General features: G+C 46.5%; 1 protein-coding gene and 1 long non-coding RNA gene across 2 annotated transcripts in view; both read left to right on the top strand.

Moving 5' to 3' along the window:
• Window positions 1-22,526, top strand: part of KLF13 (KLF transcription factor 13) — a 108,831-nt gene that overhangs the window by 65,763 nt on the left and 20,542 nt on the right. The gene's annotated exons all lie outside the window — the stretch shown is intronic.
• LOC105370939 (uncharacterized) lies at window positions 287-12,133 on the top strand. The gene is made up of 2 exons (XR_001751466.2): window positions 287-1,094; window positions 10,831-12,133. It is a non-coding gene; the product is annotated as an uncharacterized LOC105370939 (long non-coding RNA).

Genomic DNA, 22,526 nt, shown 5'->3' on the forward strand with positions numbered 1-22,526 from the left:
TTCCTCCCTGACCCCTCAGGCCTGTCCTGGGGGTCCGCCCTAGAAATAGCTCGGAGGAAGGAGCCAGTGACTTGGGTGACGTTTTGGAAATTCAGTAGAGTCTGCTCGCGGTATTTTAACAATGGGGGTCCTGCACCGGCCCAAGACAAGGGTCAGCTCGGGGCTGGGCCAGGAGCCCCATCTGGGGCCCCACACCCATTTCTGTGATTGCCCCCCACCCCGCCCCCGCCCCCGCCCCCGCCCGCGACGCTTCCGGGAGGTCTAGGCGGCTGCCGTGAGCCGGTCCGAAACGGCTCTAGGTGCACTGTCCGGCTCCAGCCAGGTCCGCTACGCCTGGAGAGCATGGAGGCAAGTTCTGCCGGCTCCACCTGCAAAGCAGAGCCCCTTTCCACGACTGTGCAGCACCGCTCGCTCCAGCCCCACCATACCCGCCTGGACGGAGACCGACCGCAGCCTGGGAGAGCCTCCAAGCCTGGAGGCGGGCGCGCGAGCCCTTTCCAAGGAGAACCCACAGCGGCTTCCCCTCTTGCTCCAGGGGCCTCTAGATCCCACCCCACCTGGCACCTGCGTCTCTCCCAGAACTCGGCCTGCCCCTACCTTCCCGCCAGCCCCCACCCTGCTGGGGCTACTGGGACCTCCTAGCGGCATGCAGCGTTCAGTAAGCAGCCGCCGGGCCCGGCCTTCGGCCTTTGCATTTCCCGGTCCAGATATGGAGGTGACGGAGGTGTGCTGCGCACTCCCTGCACGCCTCTCCTCCACTGCTCCCCCATGAGAGGCCTTCCCTAAACCCGGCTAAAGAGTACCTACCCCGTCACCCCCGGCCCGTCCCCCCCCCGTCCCCCTCAGACCTAGGATGCACCCACCCGCCAGGGGGTTTCAGAGCCAGGGCAGGGTGCCGGCCATCCAGCCCCATCCCAGCACCCTTGTCCCTCGGTCCTCCCACTACTCGTCTAGTACTCCCTACACGCCACTCCGCAGGGCTCAACCCCCGCTGTGCTCTGCGGTCGCAGCTGCAGCCGCTTCGGTGCTCCAAGACCAGAGAGGAAGCAAAGACAGAGCTTTCCCAGCCAGGCATCGCTGCTTTGGCCTTGAAGGTGAGGTGGGTGATGATGAGAGTTCCCACTGAGATCATGTTCATTATGGCCCAGGCATCGTTCTGAGTGCTGGACCTGTATCCATCCTCCCGTCTCATTACTACCACAGCCCTGTTCACAGAGCAAACAGAGGCCTCTATGGAGAGTCAAGGACATGCTGCCTGGCTGGAGGGCACCGGGTCGGGCTTCTGTCTGCGAGGGTGGTGGGTGGAGAGGTGGGGGGACAGGCAGCGGCATCTGCCAAGCCTGGACTGCCTTTGCCCTTGCATCTCAGGGGGCTCCCACAGGGATCACCTGGACAGACAGGAAGCAACTTGCAGGCAAGGTTGTTCCTGGGGGCGCGGTCCATGAGGCTAACATCTCCACAGAGAAGCGCTGTGCACTGGCCAAAGAGAGATGCTGACAGCGCTGGGGTGCAATGTTAAGTTAAAGGAAAAAAAAGGAAGGTGCCAAGCAGTACATGGAAGACAATCCTACCTGAGTAAGAATGTAGGGAGTATTTTGGCCGGGCGCGGTGGCTCACGCCTGAAATCCTAACACTTTGGGAGGCTGAGGCAGGCGGATCACGAGGTCAGGAGATCGAGACCATCCTGGCTAACACGGTGAAACCCCGTCTCTACTAAAAAAAAAATACAAAAACAAAAAATTAGCCTGGCGTGGTGGCGGGCACCTGTAGTCCCAGCTACTCGGGAGGCTGAGGCGACAGAATGGCCTGAACCCGGGAGGCGGAGCTTGCAGTGAGCCCAGATTGGGCCACTGCCCTCCAGCCTGGGTGACAGAGCGAGACTCCGTCTCAAGAAAAAAAAAAAAAAGAAAAGAAAGAAAGTAGGGAGTATTTTAAAGAGTGTGGGTGTGTATTTTATATAGATTTTGCTTATTTTTTCAAAAAGAAGTCCTGTGGATATGGGCAGAGAGGATGGAGGTGGAAGTGAGACTTCTCTAGGTGCATTTTTTCTATAACTTTTTTGAGATATAATTCACATATATAATTCACCCATTTACTGTATGTAATCCATTGGCCTTTAGTATATTCACAGACGTGCAACCATTACCACAGTTAATTATAGAATATTGCCTCAAAATAAAACCCTGTACCCTTTAGCTATCACCCCGATATTCCCCCATTTTCCCTGGCCCTAGGAGCCACTCATCTACTTGCCTCTTCTGAATATCTCATATAAATGTAATCAAACAATATGTGGCTTTTTTGTGTCTGTCTCATTTCACTTAGCATAAATTTTTAAGTTTCATCCATGTTGTATCATGTGTTAGTACTCCACTCCCTTTGTTTTGTTTTGTTTTGTTTTAGAGGGAGTCTCCCTCTGTTGCCCAGGCTGGAGTGCAGTGAGGCAATCTCGGCTCACTGCAACCTCCACCTCCTGGATTCAAGCGATTCTCCTGTCTCAGCCTCCTGAGTAGCTGGGATTGCAGATGCCCGCCACCACGCCCGGCTAATTTTTGTATTTTTAGTAGAGATGGCGTTTCACCACGTTGGCCAGTCTGGTCTCGAACTCCTGACCTCAAGTGATTTGCCCACTTCTGCCTCCCAAAGTGCTGAGATTACAGGCGTGAGCCACTGTGCCCGGCCCCTACTCACTATTATGGCTTGATAATACTCTGTCGTATGGATATACTATTTTTTTAAAGTCCATTCATCCACTGATGGATGTTTGGGTTATTTCTACTCCTTAGCTGCTATGAATGCTGCTGCTATGAACATGTGTGTACAAGCTTCTGTGTAGACATAAGTTTTCTTTTTTCCTTATTTATTTATTTATTTATTTTTGGACATAAGTTTTCATTTCTCTCGGGTATACACCTAGGAGTGGGATTACTGGGTCATGTAGCAACATTATGTTTAGTTTTGAGGAACTGCCAGACTGTTTCCATCTGCACTATTTTACATTCCCACTGGCAATCCATGAGAGGTCCAGCTTCTCCACATGCCCCAACACTTGTTACTGTCCTCCTTTTTGTTCATAGCCATCGTCACGGATGTGAAGTGGTACCTTATTGTGGTTTTGATTTGCATTTCCCCGATGGCAACATTTCATCTACAGTTTTGACATTTAATTTCACTTAATAATATCACATCAAAATTAATTTGATAAAATAAAAATGGGGGAGGGAAACCCCCAAAGTATGTGGAATTGAGTTTCCCAAGTCATGCTGCTGCTTGGTGGTGGAGCTGAGATTCCGGCCCAAGAAGTCTGCCTCAGAGTCCCTGATCCTCCATCCTCTGCCTACTGGACATTCACCAGCTTTTCTGGCTGTTGTCCCCTCAGGGCCTGTGATACACGTGCCCTGGGAGGGTTGGTTTTTTTGTTTTTCTTTCTTTCTTTCTTTTTTTTGAGACGGAGTTTCGCTCTTGTTTCCCATGCTGGAGTGCAATGGCGCGATCTTGGCTCAATGCAACCTCCGTCTCCTGGGTTCAAGAGATTCTCCTGCCTCAGCCTCTTGAGTAGCTGGGATTACAGGCATGCGCTACCACGCCCGGCTAATTTTGTATTTTTAGTAGACGGGGTTTCTCTGTGTTGGTCAGGTTGCTCTCAAACTCCCGACTTCAGGTGATCTGCCCACTTCGGCCTCCCAAAGTGCTGGGATTACAGGCATGAGCCACCGTGCCCGGCCTAATTTTTGCATTTTTAGTAGAGACAGGGTTTCACCATGTTGGCCAGGATGGTCTTGATCTCTTGACCTTGTGATCTGCCTGCCTCGGCCTCCCAAAGTGCTGGGATTACAGGCTTGAGCCACCGCGCCCGGCCTAGGGTTTTTAAGGATAATTTGGTGGTTGGGGGGCAGCCAGTGAGTTGGGAGTGCTGATTGGTCAGTGATGAAATCTTAGGGAGTCGAAGCTGTCTTCTTGCATTGAGTCAGTTCCTGGTTTGGGGCCACAAGATCAGATGAGCCAGTTTATTGACCTGGGTGGTGCCAGCTGATCCATGGAGTACAGGGTCTGCAAAATATCTCAAGCACTGATTTTAGGGATCTTAGGCTTTACAATAGTGATGTTATCCCCAGAAGCAACTTGGGAAAGTCAGAATCTTGTAGCCTCCAGCTGCGTGACTCCTAAACCATAATTTCTAATTTTTTGGCTAATTTATTAGTCCTAGCTACAAAGGCAGTCTAGTCCCTAGGCAGGAAGGAGGTCTGCTTTGGGAAAGGGATGTTACAGTCTTTGTTTTAAACTATAAACTATAAACCAAGTTTTCTCCCAAAGTTAGTTCAGCTTACACCTAGGAATGAACAAGGACAGCTTGGAGGTTAGAAGCAAGATGGAGTTAGTTAAGTCAGATCTCGTTCACTGTCTGGGTTATAATTTTGCAGTGGTGGTTTCAACAGTGGCTCAGGGGCTGGTGCCTGTCCCTACCCTGAGCCCAGAGGACACTTTCCGTCCTCCAGTCCAGGTTTTTCGTTTGACTTTGCCACAGGAACATTTGCCAGGGGTCATTTCCCAGGCGGAAATGGGCAAAGGGGGGTTGGGAACAAGCCTGAGGCCCTGAGGCCAAGAGGGTGTCCAGGTTCAGGGTGGGGCGGGGTGGGGTGGGGTGGGGCGGGCAGGGCAGGGCAGGGCAGGGGTGCACGTGGCAGGGTGGGCAGGCTTCCCGGCGCTCCGCTCAGGCCACGCCCAGCGCCAGCATAATTACCGGGAGAATAATTACGAGCCCAGAGAGCCGCCGACCCCGCCCATTGCCGACCATTCTCAGGCCTGGGGCGGTGGCGCCCTCTCCTCCTCAGTGACGCGCACTTGCAAAGGCTGCAGGCCAAGAGGTCCAGACGCCTCGGAGTGGGAGGGGCCGTGGCCTGCCAACGTTGTCTGTCCTCAAGGGAGGGGCGCTGGGAAGTTCCTGGGCCTGTTTCCCCTTTGGGGTCAGGGCTGCCTCTTGCTTCCAGCTCTAGCAGCTGCTAGCAAGTCCTTTAACATCCCTGAGCCTCAGTTTCCCCATCTATAAAATGAAGATGGATTTGTTGAGGACTAAATGAGCTACTCTTTGTACAGTGTGAGGCTGATTTTGTAACATTATTATTATTATGTTATTTTCAACCATACCCAGTGGCCAGCAGCTCCTGGCACATCATAAATGTCAGAGGGATGAACTACACAGATGAGGACGTGGAGGGGGTCAGAGTTAGGAGCTGGATGTGGGGTCTGCAGACTTCTCTGGTCTTTGGGGGTGGCGGCGGGGGGGGTGGTGATCCACTCTCCCTGGGGAATTCTTCAGTCTTTCTCTCCTGTGCCTCAGCCTGAGGGCCTCTGGCAAGTGCCTCTCCAGGAAAACACCACCTCCCAGCTGCTCTCCGGGTCGACCCTGAGTTTATCTTGGGTTTTACGCAGTCCGGGGCCAGTAATTAGCCTAATAAGGAGCCTGCTAGGCCTGCGTCTCTGCTCAGGCTCCGATAGTTACCCAGTAATTTACCTGATCTCTCGGATAAGGCCTTTGCCTGGACAGGTTCCCACCACAAAGCACAGGATGCTCCTGCTCGGGCGGGGCCTTAATTGGTGGTGTTTTCAGAGATTCTCCAACCCTAGTTGAAAGGAGCCCAGGCCTCAGAGGCACAACCATGGCCATCACAGCAAGGAAACAGCCCAGGTGTTAGGGGACAGGGCTGCACCAGGACACAACAGACCAGACACGGCAGCACTGACGAGTTTAGAAGGCGTATGGGGGTGGCAGCAGAAGCTGCCAAACCAAAACAGCTGCTGGCATTTCGTGTGTAGTGGCTGGGAGCAGAGCGTGGTGGGCAATGAGGGAGCCAACTTGGCCCTGGGGCCAACCCCGCAGCCTACACCCAGGCTCTGGCCAGCGCCTATTTCAGGGGCATGCTCGGTGCTGCTGCCTGGCCCCCAGGGTACTCCCAGAGCAAGAGCCCACTGGCTCCTGGACCCCAGTGGAGAAGCAGCGACCCCTTCCATCCCAGGGCTCAAGCTCAGGGCTCCGAGCCCTCCCAGCCACCTTTGTCCCCAGGCACAGTACCACATCAGGAGTGTCTGACTTTGGAGCAGGCCCCCAGGCCTTGGAAAGATCAAGCAGGAGGCCAAGGCTGTTGGAGCTGAGAAGCAGGAAGAGTCAACCATGCACGGTGCCCTCCTCCCTCTCCCCCAGGGCAGCTATAGGACTCTGTGGGTGGGAAGAGCCTGCAGCCAGGCCAAGAAGCCGTGGGCAAGCCCTACAGTCGCCTAGTGCTCGCCTACACAGCTCCCTTTGATCTGCCCCACTGGGCGGGGCTGTGTCATCTACTGGGTTTTCCCTGGAGCCTGTGCCCAGGGAAGCTCAGTGTCACACAGCCCCAAGCATCCTGTGTGTCCCTGGCAGAGTGCGAGCCCCTTATCCTGCCTCAGTGAAGAGGACGGTGCTGGCTGCCCTAGAGGATGTCAGCACCAGATGGAGAAGCAGAGCAGACTCCACTGGGCAAAGTTGCAATCACCCTCTGAGAGGAGCTGAGCTCCCTCTGAAAACAAGGGGCCCCTTAGCCCCACAAATGTGGGGGCAACCCACATGGCAGGGAATTGCATCCCTGAGTTTTCCCCCTGCGGCTGGAGTGCAATGGCGCAATCTTGGCTCACTGCAACCTCTGCCTCCCAGGATCAAGCGATTCTCCTGCCTCAGCCTCCTGAGTAGCTGGGATTAGCCCAGCTAATTTTTGTATTTTTAGTAGAGACGGGGTTTCATCATGTTGGGCAGGCTGGTCTCAAACTCCTGACCTCAGGTGATCCACCCACCTCGGCCTCCCAAAGTGCTGGGATTATAGGTGTGAGCCACCGTGCCCAGCCTATCTCTGAGTTTTTTGCAGTCAGCTGTGCCAAACCACCACACACTGCCCTTGGTTTCCCAGAGCCATCCTGCCCACACAGGGGATTCCTTGACACCCACTGCTCCAGGTCCAGGCCTAGGCCTGCCCCCTCTACTCCTAGATGAGGTCCAAGGGTGCTGAAACCTGCACTAACCTCCGCCTCGTGGCTGGGTGCGGGACAAGGGGTGTGGTCTCAGAGTCAGAGCTGGCTCAGCTTGGGTGGATGTGCCAGGGTGGGGTCGCTGTGGGGCAGAGGGGCACCAGCCACTGGGAGGGAGGGTCTTCTGGCTTAGGGCTTTTTTGTGCATGTGCACACCTGTCTTGCCCGATCTGCCAGGGCAGGCCACAGGGAGGGGCTGAGAGCCTGACTCTGGGCTCCGGGGCTTCTGCCATGCTGGGCCCACACCTTGGTGCCTTTTGCTTTCCTAGGCCCCTTTGCTCAGTGGCTCTTCAAAGCTTTAGCTGCCCCCTTTGAACTTGACTTCTGCTCTTCACCCAGGGGCTTCCCACTAGGGAGGGTGACTCAAACCCTCAGGCTGCCGTCAGCACTGCTTGGACCCACAGAGGCCACAGCACATAGTCTCAGGCCAAGCCAGACTGGAGCCTCCCCATGGGGTTCTTGACAGCCTGCCAGGAGACGAGTCCTACTCCTGTTCCACCCCCACTCTGCTCTCCCTCCACCTGGCCTTCCTCAATGGGGAAAAGGTATTCCCAAATCCATTTTCTGCAGGGAATCCACGGAGCGAGAGCGGTGAAACTGATGACAGGAAAGCCCTGCCTTCATGTTCATGCTTGTATTTTAACTGGGGAGAGGCAAGAAACCATCCTCAGCATTGTGTCAGATGGCAACCACTAAATAGAAAACAGTGAAGGACAGAAGGGGACCCCACATGGAGGGGGTGGCGTGCAGTTTAATTAGGTTGCTCAGAGAGGTCTCCATGAGTGGATGACATTTAAATAAAGGCCTTAAAAAGTGAGTCAGCCAGCCTTACGAAGTGTGCCACAGGCAGGGAGAACTCAAATCCCAGGTCCAGAGCTGAAGGTGGCTGGTCCCAGAGCTGGGACAGCGGCAAGGCAGGGGGCTGGAGCAGAACAGGGAGGTCAGAGCTGGGGGTGAGGTGCCCTGCAGGGAAATGGGGAGCCTTGGGGCTTCTAGCAGAGGGGTGGCAGGCCCCAACTTGGGTTTTGGATTTTACTCAGATCACTCTGCTGTGTGGAAGGTGGAGGAGGGTGGAGGAGGGTCGAGGGAGGGGGTGGAAGCCGAGAGACCAGGCAGAGGGCAGATCCAAGAGAGAAGGGACAATGCCTCGGACCAGAGTCAGTTGTGCTGGTTGACTGCCTGTGAGGGTCTGGCTGGCTGGATGCGATGGCTGTGACATGTGGGAGAGAGGGGCAAGATAAGCTGACCCCGAGATTTGGGTTTGAGCACCTGGAAGCGTCGCATCGCTATCATCTTTTTGATGTCACCAGGTGACCTTCTGAGGCAGGTGCTGCAATGTGTCCCGTCGATAGATAAATAAACAATTTTTTTTTTTTTGAGATGGGGTTTTGCTTTGTTGCCCAGGCTGGAGTGCAATGGCACAATCTTGGCTCACTGCAACCTCTGCCTCCCGGGAGCAAGCTATTCTGCCTCAGCCTACCAAGTAGCTGGGATTACAGGCATGCGCCACCACGCCCAGCTAACTTTATATTTTTAGTAGAGACCGGGTTTCACCATGTTGCCCAGGCTGGTCTCGAACTCCTGACCTCAGGTGATCCACCCACCTCAGCCTCCCAAAGTGCTGGGCCTACAGGTGTGAGCCACTGCACCCGGCCGAGACAAAATCTTCTAGACTGCAAAGTTACGCTCTTTTCACGAAGTCCTTGCCCACCTGCCCAGGGTCCCTTGGGCCTGCTTTTTGTCCCCCGGGTGGGGTGTAACATCCCAGCTGGCTTGAGTCAGGGCAAGGCACGGGTAGGGGTGAAGTGGGTAGTGGGCTGCCTGCTTTGAGGGGAGCAGGGGTCAAGGGTGTGCCTAAGGCTTGCATCCCGCCCTCTGGGCACAGGGCCTGTGCTTGGGGTGAGAGCCTGTGCTGTGGAGCAGGAACCAGCATTGAGTGGGGGCCACCTGGTGTGTGGGGCTGGGCTGGTCCCTTCATGTGGGAATTTGATCCTCTTAATAACACTCAGCGGGAAAGACTATATTGTGCCCATTTTACAAATGGGGAAACTGAGGTTCAGAGATGCGGTACTTGCCCAAGGCCACACTGGTGCAGGGACCTGAACGCAGCAGTGCAGCTCCAAGGTCTCTAGCTGTCCTCTGGCTGCATGGCCCACTTCAGCATGAGGGCTGAGTCTCCAAGGGCAGTCCCAAGAGAACCAGCAGACACTGTCTCACCATTTGTGACCCAGCCTCAGAAGCCACATAGCATCACTTACCTGGAGTGGCACGCAAGCCTGCCTAGAGTCAAGAGGAAGAAAGGAAACCCCAACTCTCAGCAGAATTGCCAGAATCTCCATGTCAGAAGAGCACGTTTGGAGGCAGATCCTGCTGCCATCCACTTCGCAGAATGCAGAGCGTGCCCGAGGAGAAGTGGGGTCTGGGTGAGCAGCACCAATGTCCACTCCAGTAGGGGAGACACTGCATGTCCAGGACACAACCTCTGATCGAGGCTGTCAGGGGGCCCAAAGAAGGGCTGTGGGGGCCGGGCATGGGAGCCACAGATGCGGGTTCAGCTCCAGGCTCTGCTGCTCCCTTGCCTACATGGATGGAGAGCCCTCTGGGAGAAGATGTGCCCCCGCCAGCCTCTGAAAGGAAGATGAGGTTTAGATGAGGAGGGGAGGTTGGAAGGAGCTCTTGGCTGGGGACCCTGCCCCACAGGGGCACCTCTAGGGGTGGGAGATGAAAGCAGTGTGCTTGGGGCACCTCAGATGCCGTGGAGATGAGGCTGGGCTGAGACTCAGTCAGAGGGTTCCCAAGTGGTCCCAGTGACAAAGGCCCAGAGAAACAGTTCCATTCAGGAAACATGTGATGGCTCAATGTGGAGAAGACACTCAGGAAGTCCACAGAGCCTGAATGTCCCCGCTCTGGTGCAGGGTCTCGTGCTCAGGTCCGACCTGGCTGTCAGCGGCACTGGGACCCAGGGCTGCCCCGCCATCCCACCGCCAGGAGCGGAGGAGCTGTCTCCAGCAGCAGCTGCTGCACAGAGCCCCAGGTGGAGCCTGGGGAGGCAGGCTCAGTGTTCTCAGCTTATCACCAGACACTCAGTTCTGCGGCTCATTAGTCTAGACTTGTTTCTGTCAGAGAAGGTCCTCTTTCCCCTGGGATGTGTAGGCTGTTCTGGCTCAGCCAACAGCAGTATATGGGTCTTATCGGAATATGAAATACTAAAATGTGGGGAAAAAAAAAACAACTTTTAAGTGTTTGCCTTGGAGGGATGGGCAATGGGACTCGTGAACTGTTTTCTTCTTTCGTAAGCAGCCTCGCTATCCCTTGCAGCCACAGAACTGACGCACAGGGCCAGGTCCCTTGGGGCCCAGCAGGAAAAATGGATGCCAGGAAGGGCATGCTAGTCCAGGCCTGGGGAACACAAGCTGCTTCCCATTTGCTCTCTCTCTACGGCTCGATTGCCAGTTCCAACTGTCAGTCTATCTTGATCCCCAAAATGTTTGAGTATAGATACGTCTGCTGATTCCCCTCATTCTTTTAGTGTCTTTTCTGCTGTGAAGCAGTTTTGGGGCAAGATCTTTTGCTCTGGTCCGGATAACTCTGGGCAATATACTCCAAGTCAAAGGCTACAGTGAAACTGGGTGACTGGCAAATAATCGATGAATCATGACTCCAGAATTCTTGTCTCTAGATGGGGGAGTAAAATCACAAACGAGATATGCTGTCGGCTGGGGATGCTTTAGAGGCCCCACCATACATGTTCCCATCTTTAATAATGAAACCCTTGATTTTTAGCTCAGCGTGTGGCTACCTGGACCAATTCTGTCTGATGGGGTGTGCAGTAGTGTCATGAACTACTTCTATCCCAGGAAGTAACTTGTAAATGAGTGGATGAGCCAATTCTCCTTCTTTCTCTTCCTGCTGGCTGAAGTGTGGACATGATGGCAGGAGCTGCAGCAGTCACATTGGACCATGGGTCATCGTGGGAATGGAAGTCACACAAGGGTATTTAAAGCCACACAAGGATAATGAGCACTGGATAGATGGAGCCCGAGTCCCCATCACAGTGTAGCCCCTGTAACAGATCTAGACTTCCTGCCTCCCACATTGAGTAAACTGCTCTCTTGCTTAAGCCACTATTATGTTAGGATTTTTTCAACCCATAGTCAGAGATAGTCCTAACTGATTCACCACCCTCAGAGAGTTTACAGCCAATTATGTTTCTCATGAAAAAGGTTAGCCAGTGGTTGTAAGTGATCCCGGACTGGAGCGCCAGCTGCACTAAGGCAGTTCGTCTGTGGGATGGCTCTGTCCTTGTCAGGGAGAGGACCCCTCCTACACACTGGCATGTTACCACAAGTACAGTGGTAACTAAGCAGGTCGGCATAGGTGCCCACAGAGCAGACTGAACACCCCGTTTGCTTCCCTCTCCTCTCCGAACTCCCTGGACATGGCCAAGTAGCATAAGCCAAGCAGAGGTGAGAAGGAGAGTGGGGCACAGGCAAGTTACCAGTGGGCCCGCGGCTATCATGGACTTCCAGAAAATAAAAAACAGGCATGATGGTGTTGGTTTATAAACCAAAGCAGAGGGCACTGGAGCCCCGTAAGTGTGCAGGAGTGAATGTATGTGGCAGGGAGAAGGGTAGAAGGGAGGAGGTTGGGTAGAAGGCTACCTCTACCAGCTGGAAATGAGTGGTGAAGTCAGCTGGACTTCTGGGTGGGGCGGGGACTTGGAGAACTTTTCTGTCTTACAAAGGGATTGTAAAATGCACAAATCAGCACTCTGTAGATAGGATTGTAAAACGCACCAATCAGCTCTCTGTGGCTAGCTAGAGGTTTCTAAAATGGACCAATCAGTGCTTTGTAAAGTGGACCAATCAGAACACTGTAAAATGGACCAATTAGTGCTCTGTAAAATGGACCAATCAGACCAATCAGCACTCTGTAAAATGGACCAATCAGCAGGACATGGGTGGGGACAAATAAGGGAATAAAAGCTGGCCACCCTCCAGTCAGCAGCAGGCAACCCACTGGGTCCCCATCCCTGTTGTGGTGTATTTGTTATTTTGCTCTTGGCAATAAATCTTGCTGCTGCTCACTCTTTGGGTCCGTGCCACCTTTAAGAGCTGTAACACTCACTGTGAAGGTCCAGGACTTCATTCTTGCGGTCAGCGAGACCACGAACCCACTGGAAAGAACCAACTCCCGACACGGAAAGGCTGCAAGGTTAGGGTCCACAGTTTGGGAAGAGTGGAGCCTAGGGTCTTCACTCAGGGGTATGGATGGAGAGAACAGTGGGGGGAGCTCTTTGCTCTAATCCCAGGCTCCACCCTGCCTCAAAGAGGCTACGAGTACTGTTTTGTAGTAGGATAAAACCAATGATATGCTTATGCTGTAGATGGAACCATGTGCCCCTGAAACTCATATGTTGAGTTTCACCCCACTGTGATGGTATTAGGAGGAGGAAACTTTGGGAGGTGACTAGGTCATGCGAGCAGAGCTCTCATGAATGAGGTTAGTGCCTTAGAAAACAAGAGCCTGCGTAGTGGTGTGCGCCTGTAATTCCAGCTACTCTGGAGGCTGAGGCAGGAGAATTGCATGAAGCCGGGAGGCAGCGATTGCAGTGAGCCGAGATCGCACCACTGCACTCCAGTCTGGCCAACAAAACGAGACTCCGTCTCAAAAAAACAGAAGGAAAAAAAAAGAAAAGAGCTTGGAGAACCCCCTCTCCTCTTCTGCCAGGTGAGGCCACAGCAAGAAGACTGCGGTCTACGAACCAGGAAGAGGCCTTCACCAGTCACCAAATATGCTGGCGCCTTAATTTTAGACTTTCCAGTTTCTGGAACTGTGAGAAATGAATTTCTGCTGTTTATAACCAACCCTGGCTGTGTGATTCTATTGTAACAACCTGAACTGATGAAAACATCTTGCTAGGAAATAGAAGTGAACTTAGGAGGAGGGTTAGTATATGCTGGAGTAAAGCCTTCGGTAGTTTGGTCTTTTTGTAAAGATGAGGAAGCTGGGTACCCTCTGGTGAGGGCTGCCAGGTGTGACTCACCCGACTAAGCAGAAGTCAAGCCAGCCTTCCCAGGAAGGGGAGAGGCCTGCTGAGTAAACAGACCCCGGAACCACAAAGGGGACCCTTGGCAGCTATCTGTATGCATAAGTCTTATCTTTCATCTGTGTACATGATAGGCAAACAAGGAAAACAGTCACAAGACAGAAGGACGAAGAGGAACAAAAGTAACAGTTGTCCCTGGAAGAAATAGATACTAAAGGCAATGAATAGAATAAGAGTCATAATTAACATCTCAAGAGATGTTTGAGGAGATGTTGCATCCACAAAACAAGAACAGGAAACTAGAGAAAGGACAAATCAGGGAATCAAAAAAGTTTAGAGACATTAAAAATGTGATGATAAAAATTAAAAACAAATCAGGAGGAGGATAGGAAAGTAAAGTTAAACTTCCCAGACTGTAGGGCAAGAAGACAAAAAGCTGAAGAGTCTGACAGGGCAGGTGAGAGATGCATAGCATCAATCCAGGGTGTCAAAATGTGTCTGATAGGCCCGGCACAGTGGCTTACACCTATAATAGCACTTTGGGAGGCCAAGGCAGGCGGATCACCTGAGGTCAGGAGTTTGAGACCAGCCGGGCCAACATGGCGAAACCCCATCTCTACTAAAAATACAAAAATTAACCAGGTGAGGCAGCAGGCACCTGTAATCCCAGCTACTTGGGAGGCTGAGGCAGGAGAATCGCTTGAACCCGGGAGGCAGAAACTGCCTTTCTGTTGTTTATAACCAACCCTGGCAAGATTACACCACTGTGCTTCAGCCTAGGTGACAGAGTGAGACGTAAAATGTGTCTGCTAGGAGTTCAGAAGGAATGAACAGAAAAAAAGAAAGAATGGAGGGAAGTGCAGTGTAACCAATAACCAATAACCAGTTGGTAACCAATAACCACACACTTAATGGCTTGCAACAATATAAATTTATTCTCTTACAGCTATAATGGTCAGAAGTCCTAAAATCAAGGTGTCAGCAGGACTGCATTCCTTCTGGAGGCTCTAAGGGACAATCTGTTTCCTTGTCTTTCCCAGCTTCTAGAGGCTGCCTGCATTCTTTGGTTTGTAGACCTATATATTTTCAAGGCCGTCAGTGTATCCTCTTTAGATCTCTCCCTCTGACTCTGACTCCTGCCTCCCTCATTGCACCACCATCTCCTCTGCTTCTGCTGTCACATCATCTTCTCTGACTTTGGCCCTCTCGCCTCCCTCTTATGAGGACTCTTGTGATTACATTGGGCTCCCTGGGATAATACAGAAAAATCTCCCCATTTCAAGATTTTAAATGACATCTGCAAAGTCCCTTTTTCCATGTGAGATAACATATTCGTAGGTTCCAGGGATTAGGATGTGACATCTTTGGTGCACCATTATTTTGTCTACTACATGGGGAAATAAAGAAATGTTGGGGGAATAATTTCCCAGAGCTAAACAAGGAGGAACAGTTTTTAAATTAAAACTTTCTCAAGTTATTTGATAGGATGATTGAGAAAAGATAGCTGGGTGTGGTAGCTCACACCTGTAATCCCATTATTTTGAGAGGCTGAGATAGGAGGATCGCTTGAACCAAGGAGTTCAAGACCAGCCTGGGCAACACAGGGAGACCTCTTCTCTATAAAAAAGAAGTAAAAAGAAGAGAAAGGATCAATACCTGGGCATTTTGCCATGAACTACGAGAAAGATAAGGGGAGGGGGTGGCACAGGTCATGGGCAGAGAAACAAGCTCAGCAGCAGGATGTGCTAAGGAGAAATAGAAGGCTTCCTTCAAGGCTGGAGGGAAAACTGTCTTGTCTCAAAAATGATACAGTAAGCTGAACTATTAATCATGAAAGCAAAAATAATGTTTTATGTATAAGAAAAGATTTTAAAAGTTAACCACCCATGAACTCATTCTGGGGAAATACATACACTTGAGAAATACTCTGGTCACGAGAAAGTAAAAATCAAGAAAAAGAAAAATAAAGACTTCCCCAAACTACAGAACTAAATCAATATTGCAGTGAAAAGCAAATCCATACCAGGAACTCAAAGATGATTCAATAATAAGAAATATACTATAAAATGAACCACATTAATAAGTTGAAGGAGAAAAAATTATTTGACTCTTTCTACAGAGACCAGTAAAGCCTTTGGAAACATTTTGCACCCATTTGTACTTACAGTCTTGAAAAAATGAATGGATATATCCTTATCATGATAAACCATGTATATACCTCATACTAAAATCACTGATTTATTTAATGAGGAAACACTAGAGACATTCCTACTAAGGTTAGGAACAAGGCAAACATTTTCTTAGCTCTATTATTACTTAATATATTAACCAATGCAATCATGTAAGAGGAAAGAACTGGAGGCATAAAACCTGAAAAAGAAGAACTATCTCTGTTTGCAGATGACAAAATGGTACATCTGGAAAACCCTAGAGAGCAAAATTGTAAAATAGTTGGTAAAACCACCACAAAAAATAAAAGAATTCTGCAAGACAGCAGGTTATAAAATTAATAGAGCAATTAATAGATTTCATATGTTGCATATAATATATAAATTTCACATATGAAGTTAAAAGATGAATTGTTTCTCACCAGGTAGTCACAGAGAAGACCGAGGAGACTCTTGAGAAAGCTTCCTGTTCCTGGTGGTATAGGTCACTTCTCCCCTATCCCTCCCTTGTCCCTCACCATCCATGGGAAAAAACTTAAAATGTGGGGATGGAGGAGTGCCAACAGTGTCATCCTTATGAGAAAGGGAAGTTAAAATTCTCGCAAAATAGCCCCCATTCTAAACACAAGGTAACACTAGAATTTGAAGTCTGTTATATAATGAGAATAACCATTGCAATGTTAAATCTCAAATCAAACTCAACTCCTGACTAGATTAATAGAACCCCCACATTAAAGACCTAGAAGGAAAGTTGTGCTCATTTCCAAGTATGAAAATTATTTACCTCTGTCACTACTGTTAAATGTTTGTTTTTAAACAAAAACTCTGAGCCATATGAGAAAGCAAGAGATGTTGGAACTATCGGACAGGGAACTTAAAATTGTAATGATTAGTGTGTTAAAGGCTCTAAAGGAAAAGCCGGTAACATACAAGATCAGGTGGATAATTCAGCAGAGAGGTGGAAACTGTATGAAAGAATCAACTGGTGATACTAGAAATGAAAAACACAGTGAGAGAGATGAAGAATGCCTTTGACTGGCTCATCAGTAGACTAGACACAGTGAAGATAAGAATCAACATGAAGTTGAACATAAGTCAATAGAAAAACAAAGAACAACAAACAGTTTTAAAAAAACAAACCAGGCAGGCATGGTGGCTCATGCTTGTAATCCCAGCACTTTGGGAGCCTGAGGTGTGTGGATCACCTGAGGTCAGGAGTTCCAGACCAGCCTGGCCAATGTGGCGAAAACCTGTCTCTACTAAAAATACAAAAATTTGCCAGGGGTGATGGTGCATGCCTGTAATCTCAGCTACTCGGGAGGCTGAGGTGGGAGAATTTCTTGAACCCAGGAGGCGGAGTTCACAGTGAGTCAAAATTGTGCCATTGCACTCCAGCCTGGGCAACAGAGCAGGACTCTAACTCAAAAAAACCCCAAAAAACAAACAAACAAAACAAACCAGTTCATCTAAGAGCTGTGGGACAATACCAAATGATGCAATATATGCATTATACAAATCCCAAGAGGAGAAGAGAAAGAGAATAAGGGGAAGAAATATTTGAGAAATGTTGGCTGGGAATTTTTCCAAAAATAATGACAGACACCAAGCCATAGATTCAAGAAGCTTAGATAACACCAAGCAGGAAAGAAAGAGAGAGAAAGGAGGAAGAAAAGGGAGGAAGAAGGAAAGAAGGAAGAGAGAAACCACACTTACGTATGTCATATTCAAGTTTCCAAAAACAAAAAACAAAGAAAAGACCCTGAAGACAGCCAGAGAAAAAGGACACGTTACATACAGAGAAACAAAGATGAGAATTGCAGTGCACTTCACCTCAGAAGCCATGCAAGCCAGATTACAATAAAGTGACATGTTTAAACTACAGAAAGACAAAACTGTCATCCCAGCATTCTATATTCAGCAAAATATCTTTAAAAAATGAAGAAGACATACTTTCTCAGATAAATAAAAACTGAGAAAATTTTCTACTAGCAGCCCTGCAATATAAGAAATGTTAAAGGAATTTCTTCTGGCAGAAAAAAATACGATACCAACAGAATCTTGAATTTACAGAAAAACATAAAGCATTCTGGAAATGAAGCAAATGTACATAAAATAAAGTCTATTTAAAAATTTTCTTAATTTTAATTGCTCTAAAAGACAACGGTCTCAAGCAAACTATAAGATCAGTGTATCATGTGTTTATAGCATATGGAAAAGTAAAATGTGTGACAATAGCAGAAAGGATGGAGGAAATAATTGAGAATATAACAATAAGCTCCTTATACTACATGTGAAATGGAATAATATTGGGAGGTAGACTCTGATTAATAAAAATATGTATATTATAAAACCCAGGAAAACCACCAAAAGTATAAAGAAGAGTTATAAATAATAAGGCAATAATGGGGATCAAATTGAACAATAAAAAGTCTTCAGCAACCCAAAAGACTGCATTAAAAAAAGGAAAGATAAAAAAGTACAGAGGGACCAAAAAGAAAACAGGTAGCAAGATGAAAGATTTTAATCAAAATCTATCAATAATCAATTTAAATTGAGAGGGACTAAACGCATCAATTAAAAAACAGAGACCAAGTGGCAGAATAAAAAGGCAATCCAAATTGTATGTTGTCAACAAGAAACTTGCTTTAAATATAAAGATATAAATGAGTTAAACTAAAAAGATGGAAAAAGATATACCATGCAGACAGTAAACACCAACCAACACACACACACACACACACACACACACACACACACACACACACCCCTATAACATCAAAGTAAAATTCAGAATGAGAAATATCATCAGAGATAAAGGAGGACATAATGTAATAATGAGTCAGTTTTCCAAAAAGCCACAACAATCCTAAACATGTATATGCCTAACAACAGAGTTCGAAATACATAAACTAAAAGTGAATCGAACTGAAGGGAAAAATGAACAAATACACAATTAGGCTGTAGATCTCCGGCCATACTGACCAGTATCAGGAATAAAAAAGTGGACATCATTACAGACCCCTATAGACACTGAAAAGATAATGTGAAAATGCTTCAAATAAGCAGAGTAAAATGGATCAATTCCTTAAAAGATATGATCAAAACTCACTGAAGAAAAAAACCAGTCTTCTATCTATAAAGAAATTAGAAATTGATTTTATGGTTAAAAGCTTTCTATATAGAGAATGCCATGCCCAGAAGTGTTTGCAGGTTAGTTCTAAAAACATTTAAGGCAGAAATAATACCAATTTTACACAATCTCTTCCAGAAAATAGAACTCATCTTATCAGTCCAGTATTCCAATGAGATGAAGAAAACTACAAGCTGTTATCCTTCACAATTATAGATGCAACAATCATCAATATAAATTAACATATTGAATCCAGCAATATATAAATCTTTTTTTTCTGTTTCAGTTGATGCTGCTATAAAGTCAACAATATATTACAATCTAGTGTGTGTATCCCATGAATGCAAGGCTCAATCAACATTCGAAATTCAATCAATGTAACTTACCATACCAACACATTTTTTTTTTCTTTTTTTTTTTTTGAGATGGAGTCTCGCTCTGTCGCCCAGGCTGGAATGCAGTGGCGCGATCTTGGCTCACTGCAAGCTCTGCCTCTCAGGTTCACACCATTCTCCTGCCTCAGCCTCCTGAGTAGCTGGGACTACAGGCGCCTGCCACCACACCTGGCTAATTTTTTTTTTTTTTTTGTATTTTTAGTAGAGACGGGGTTTCACCGTGTTAGCCAGGATGGTCTCCATGTCCTGATCTTGTGATCCACTCACCTTGGCCTCCCAAAGTGCTACGATTACAAGCATGAACCACTGTGCCTGGCCCAAACAAAAATTTTTTAAAAAAGAAAACCATATGATTATAGAAGTATAAAGAGTACTTTACAGTATTCACAATCTATTTATGATGAAAAAATAAACTCTCAATCCAATCTGTCAATCTATTTGAAATAAATAGGACATTTCTTTATATGAAAACAGGTAGGTACAAAAAACCAAAGCTAGCATCATATTTGGTTGTGAAAGACTCAATATGTCTACCCAAGGATCAGACACAAGTCAAGGATGTCCTCTTTTACTACTCCTATTCAACATTGTGCTGGAAATCATAGCTAGCTGCTATGGTCTAAATGTTAGTGTCTCCCAGGAAGTTATATATTGAAACTGAATTCCCCAATGTAATTATGTTAAGAGGTGGGCCTTTGGGAGGGGATTAGGTCATGAAGCTTTCTCCTCTCCTCAGTGGGATTAGCGCCCTTATAAAAAAGGCTCAAGGGAGCTTGTTTGCTTCTTTCACCATGTGAGAACACAGCTAGAAGCTGCCATCTTTGAAAAAAAGGAGCTTTTGCCAGACACCAAATGTGCTAGCACCTTGATCTTAGACTTTCTAATTACCAGAACTGTGAGCAATAATTTTGTGTTGTTTGTAAGTTATCTGGTCTATGGTAATTTGTTACTGCAGCCTGAATGGGCTAAAACACCAGTGTAACATGGCAAGACAAGACATAAAATATCGTAGTTTGTAAAGGAATAATTTGCCTCTAGTAACAGATGACATGATTGTACATGCGGAAAAGTCCAAAAAAAAACCACTATGAAAAAAAAACACTTCTAGAATTAATAAAAGAGTTTAGCTAGGATACAAGGATACAAGTTTAATAAACAAAAATTAATTGATTTGCTACTAGTCATGCACAACTGCAATTAAAAATTTTAAAATCACCACTTTAAAAAGCAAAGAGGAGGAGGAACTTCTACATGTTTAGGTGTCACTGAAAGAAAAACTTATCATGTTCCACACCTCCAGCTCGTGATTTCTTAAAAATTTTGCCCGATTGGAGACGAAGGCCATAAAACAGATAGCTTCCAATCTCTTCTCATTGGAATTGACTTCTTGTGCAACAGAATGTGGAGAAGTTTAAACCCAAGGGCCTCTAGAGAACAGTGCAAGTTGTAGTGAAAGGCATCTGAAAGGAGATTCATGAATTTATGAAGAGAAAGCCTAAACCAGGCTGGATAGTTTTCAGGACAGAACTGAGGAACAAGACAGTTGGGAGGAGCACTTCTGAGTTCCTGGGGAAAAATATGAAGCTTAGACCTCAGAAACGGTTCCTTCAAAGGAATCACAATTTGATCGGATGTCTTTGCAGAGGCATCAATGCCCCAGGGCACTCTTGAAAACAAAAGAACAATCATTGAGCAATTAGTGGTTTCACATCTGGATGTGGCCAGAGACAGAAAGAGAGTGCTAACAATACCACAGTCAGCTCATTATTCAAGTTGAAGAACAGAGAGAAAATGAATAGACAAAAAAAAAAAAAAACAAAAAACAAAAAAACCAGCCTCAGAGATATGCGGGACACCATTAAACATAACAACATATATATAACCATGTACCAGAAGGAGAGGAGAGAAAGGAGAAAAAAGTATTCAAAGAAATAATGGCAGAAAACTTCTCAAATTTATTGAAAACAACAACCTACTCATTCAGAAAGGTCAATCAACTCCAAACAGGATAAATTAGAAAAGATTTACGAACAAAAACATCATGGTGAAAACCAAAGACAAGCAAAAATCTTAAAGGCAGCAAGAGAAAAATGACATATCCCTTAAAAGAGAACCCCAAATACATTAGCAGCTGACTTTTCATAACAAAACACAGGTCAGAAGGCAGTGAAATAACATATTTGAAGTGTTCAAAGAAAAAAATCATCAAGGAAGAATCCTATATACATCACAGCTATATTTGAAAAATGAAGGCAAAATAAAGAAATGCTTAGGTTAAAAAACAAAACAAAACAAAAACCCAGAGAATTTCTTGCTATTAGGCCTGCCTTCAAGAAATACTAAAAAAAATTCTTCAGGTTGAAAACAAGTTACCTTAAATGGTAATTTGAATCCACAGAATTTGTTCCACAGAAACAAAGAGTATCAGTGAAAGTTACTGTCTTTTAAAAAGACACTATAAATGCATATTTTCTCTTTTGTCTCATACTTATTTTAAAAGCAATTATACAGAATAATATGTATATCATGCATTGTTGAGCCTATAACATATATGTGAAATATATTTGCCAATAACGTCACAAAGGTGGTAAGTGGGAGTAAACATGTAATGGGCTAAGAAAATGATTATAACAATGTATCATTGAGTTTGTAAAATTAATAGATGTAATGCATATAAAAATAATACCACAGAAATGGGGGACATGGAACAGGGCTGTATAGGAATAGTGTTCTTAATAGATCACTGGAATTAAACTAGTTTAAGTCTCAAGGTGATTATGATCAGTTAAATATATATGGTAGGCCCTAGAGCAACCACTAAAAAATGACATAAAAATATAGTGGGAAAAATCCTAATGAAATTAAAATGCTACATTAGAAAATATTTACTTAATGCAGAAAAAGCAGTAAAGCAGCAATGGAAGAACAGAAAAAACACAGGACATATGTAAGACAAAAATAAAATAGACATAAATCTAATTATATCAATAATATCAAATGCGAGAGCGAATTAAACATTTCTCAAAAGGCAAAAATTGTCATACTGAATTACAAAAAACATGCTTCTACTTACTATATGTTGTCTGCAAGAAAGACACTTTTAATTCAAAGATACAAATAGATTGACAGTAAAAAGATGGAAAAAGATATGTCATGAAAACAGCAACCATAGGAAAGCTGGAGAGCCTACAGTAATAGACAAAATATACTTTAAAACAAAATATGTTGCTGGACATCAGTGGGAATACTTTATAACAGTAAAAGGATTAACCCATCAGGAAAATATACCAATTATAAATATATATTCAGCTAATAACAGAGCACCAATACATGGAAAAAACTGACAGAAATGAAGAAATAAATAGACATTTCAATATCCTCTCTCAATGATAGAATGATTAGACAGAAGATCAATAAAGAAGTAGAAGAAGACTTGAATGACACTATAAACCAACTACACCTAACAGACAACTATAGAACATGCTATGGTTTGGATATTTGGCCCCTCCAAATCTCATGTTGAAATTTGATCCACAATGTTGGAAGTAGGGACTAAATTGGAGGCATTTGGGTCATGGAGGTATATCCTTCATGAATGTCTTGGTGCTATCCTCATATTAATGACTGAGTTCTTATTCTATGAGTTCCCATGGGAGCTAGTTGTTTAAAATAATCTGGCACTTCCCTTCCTCCCCTCTCTGTTGCTTCCATTCTCTTGCCATGTGATCTCTGTACAC

Source organism: Homo sapiens, chromosome 15 (genome assembly GCF_000001405.40).
Source record: "Homo sapiens chromosome 15, GRCh38.p14 Primary Assembly".
In the NCBI taxonomy this organism is placed as follows: domain Eukaryota; kingdom Metazoa; phylum Chordata; class Mammalia; order Primates; family Hominidae; genus Homo; species Homo sapiens.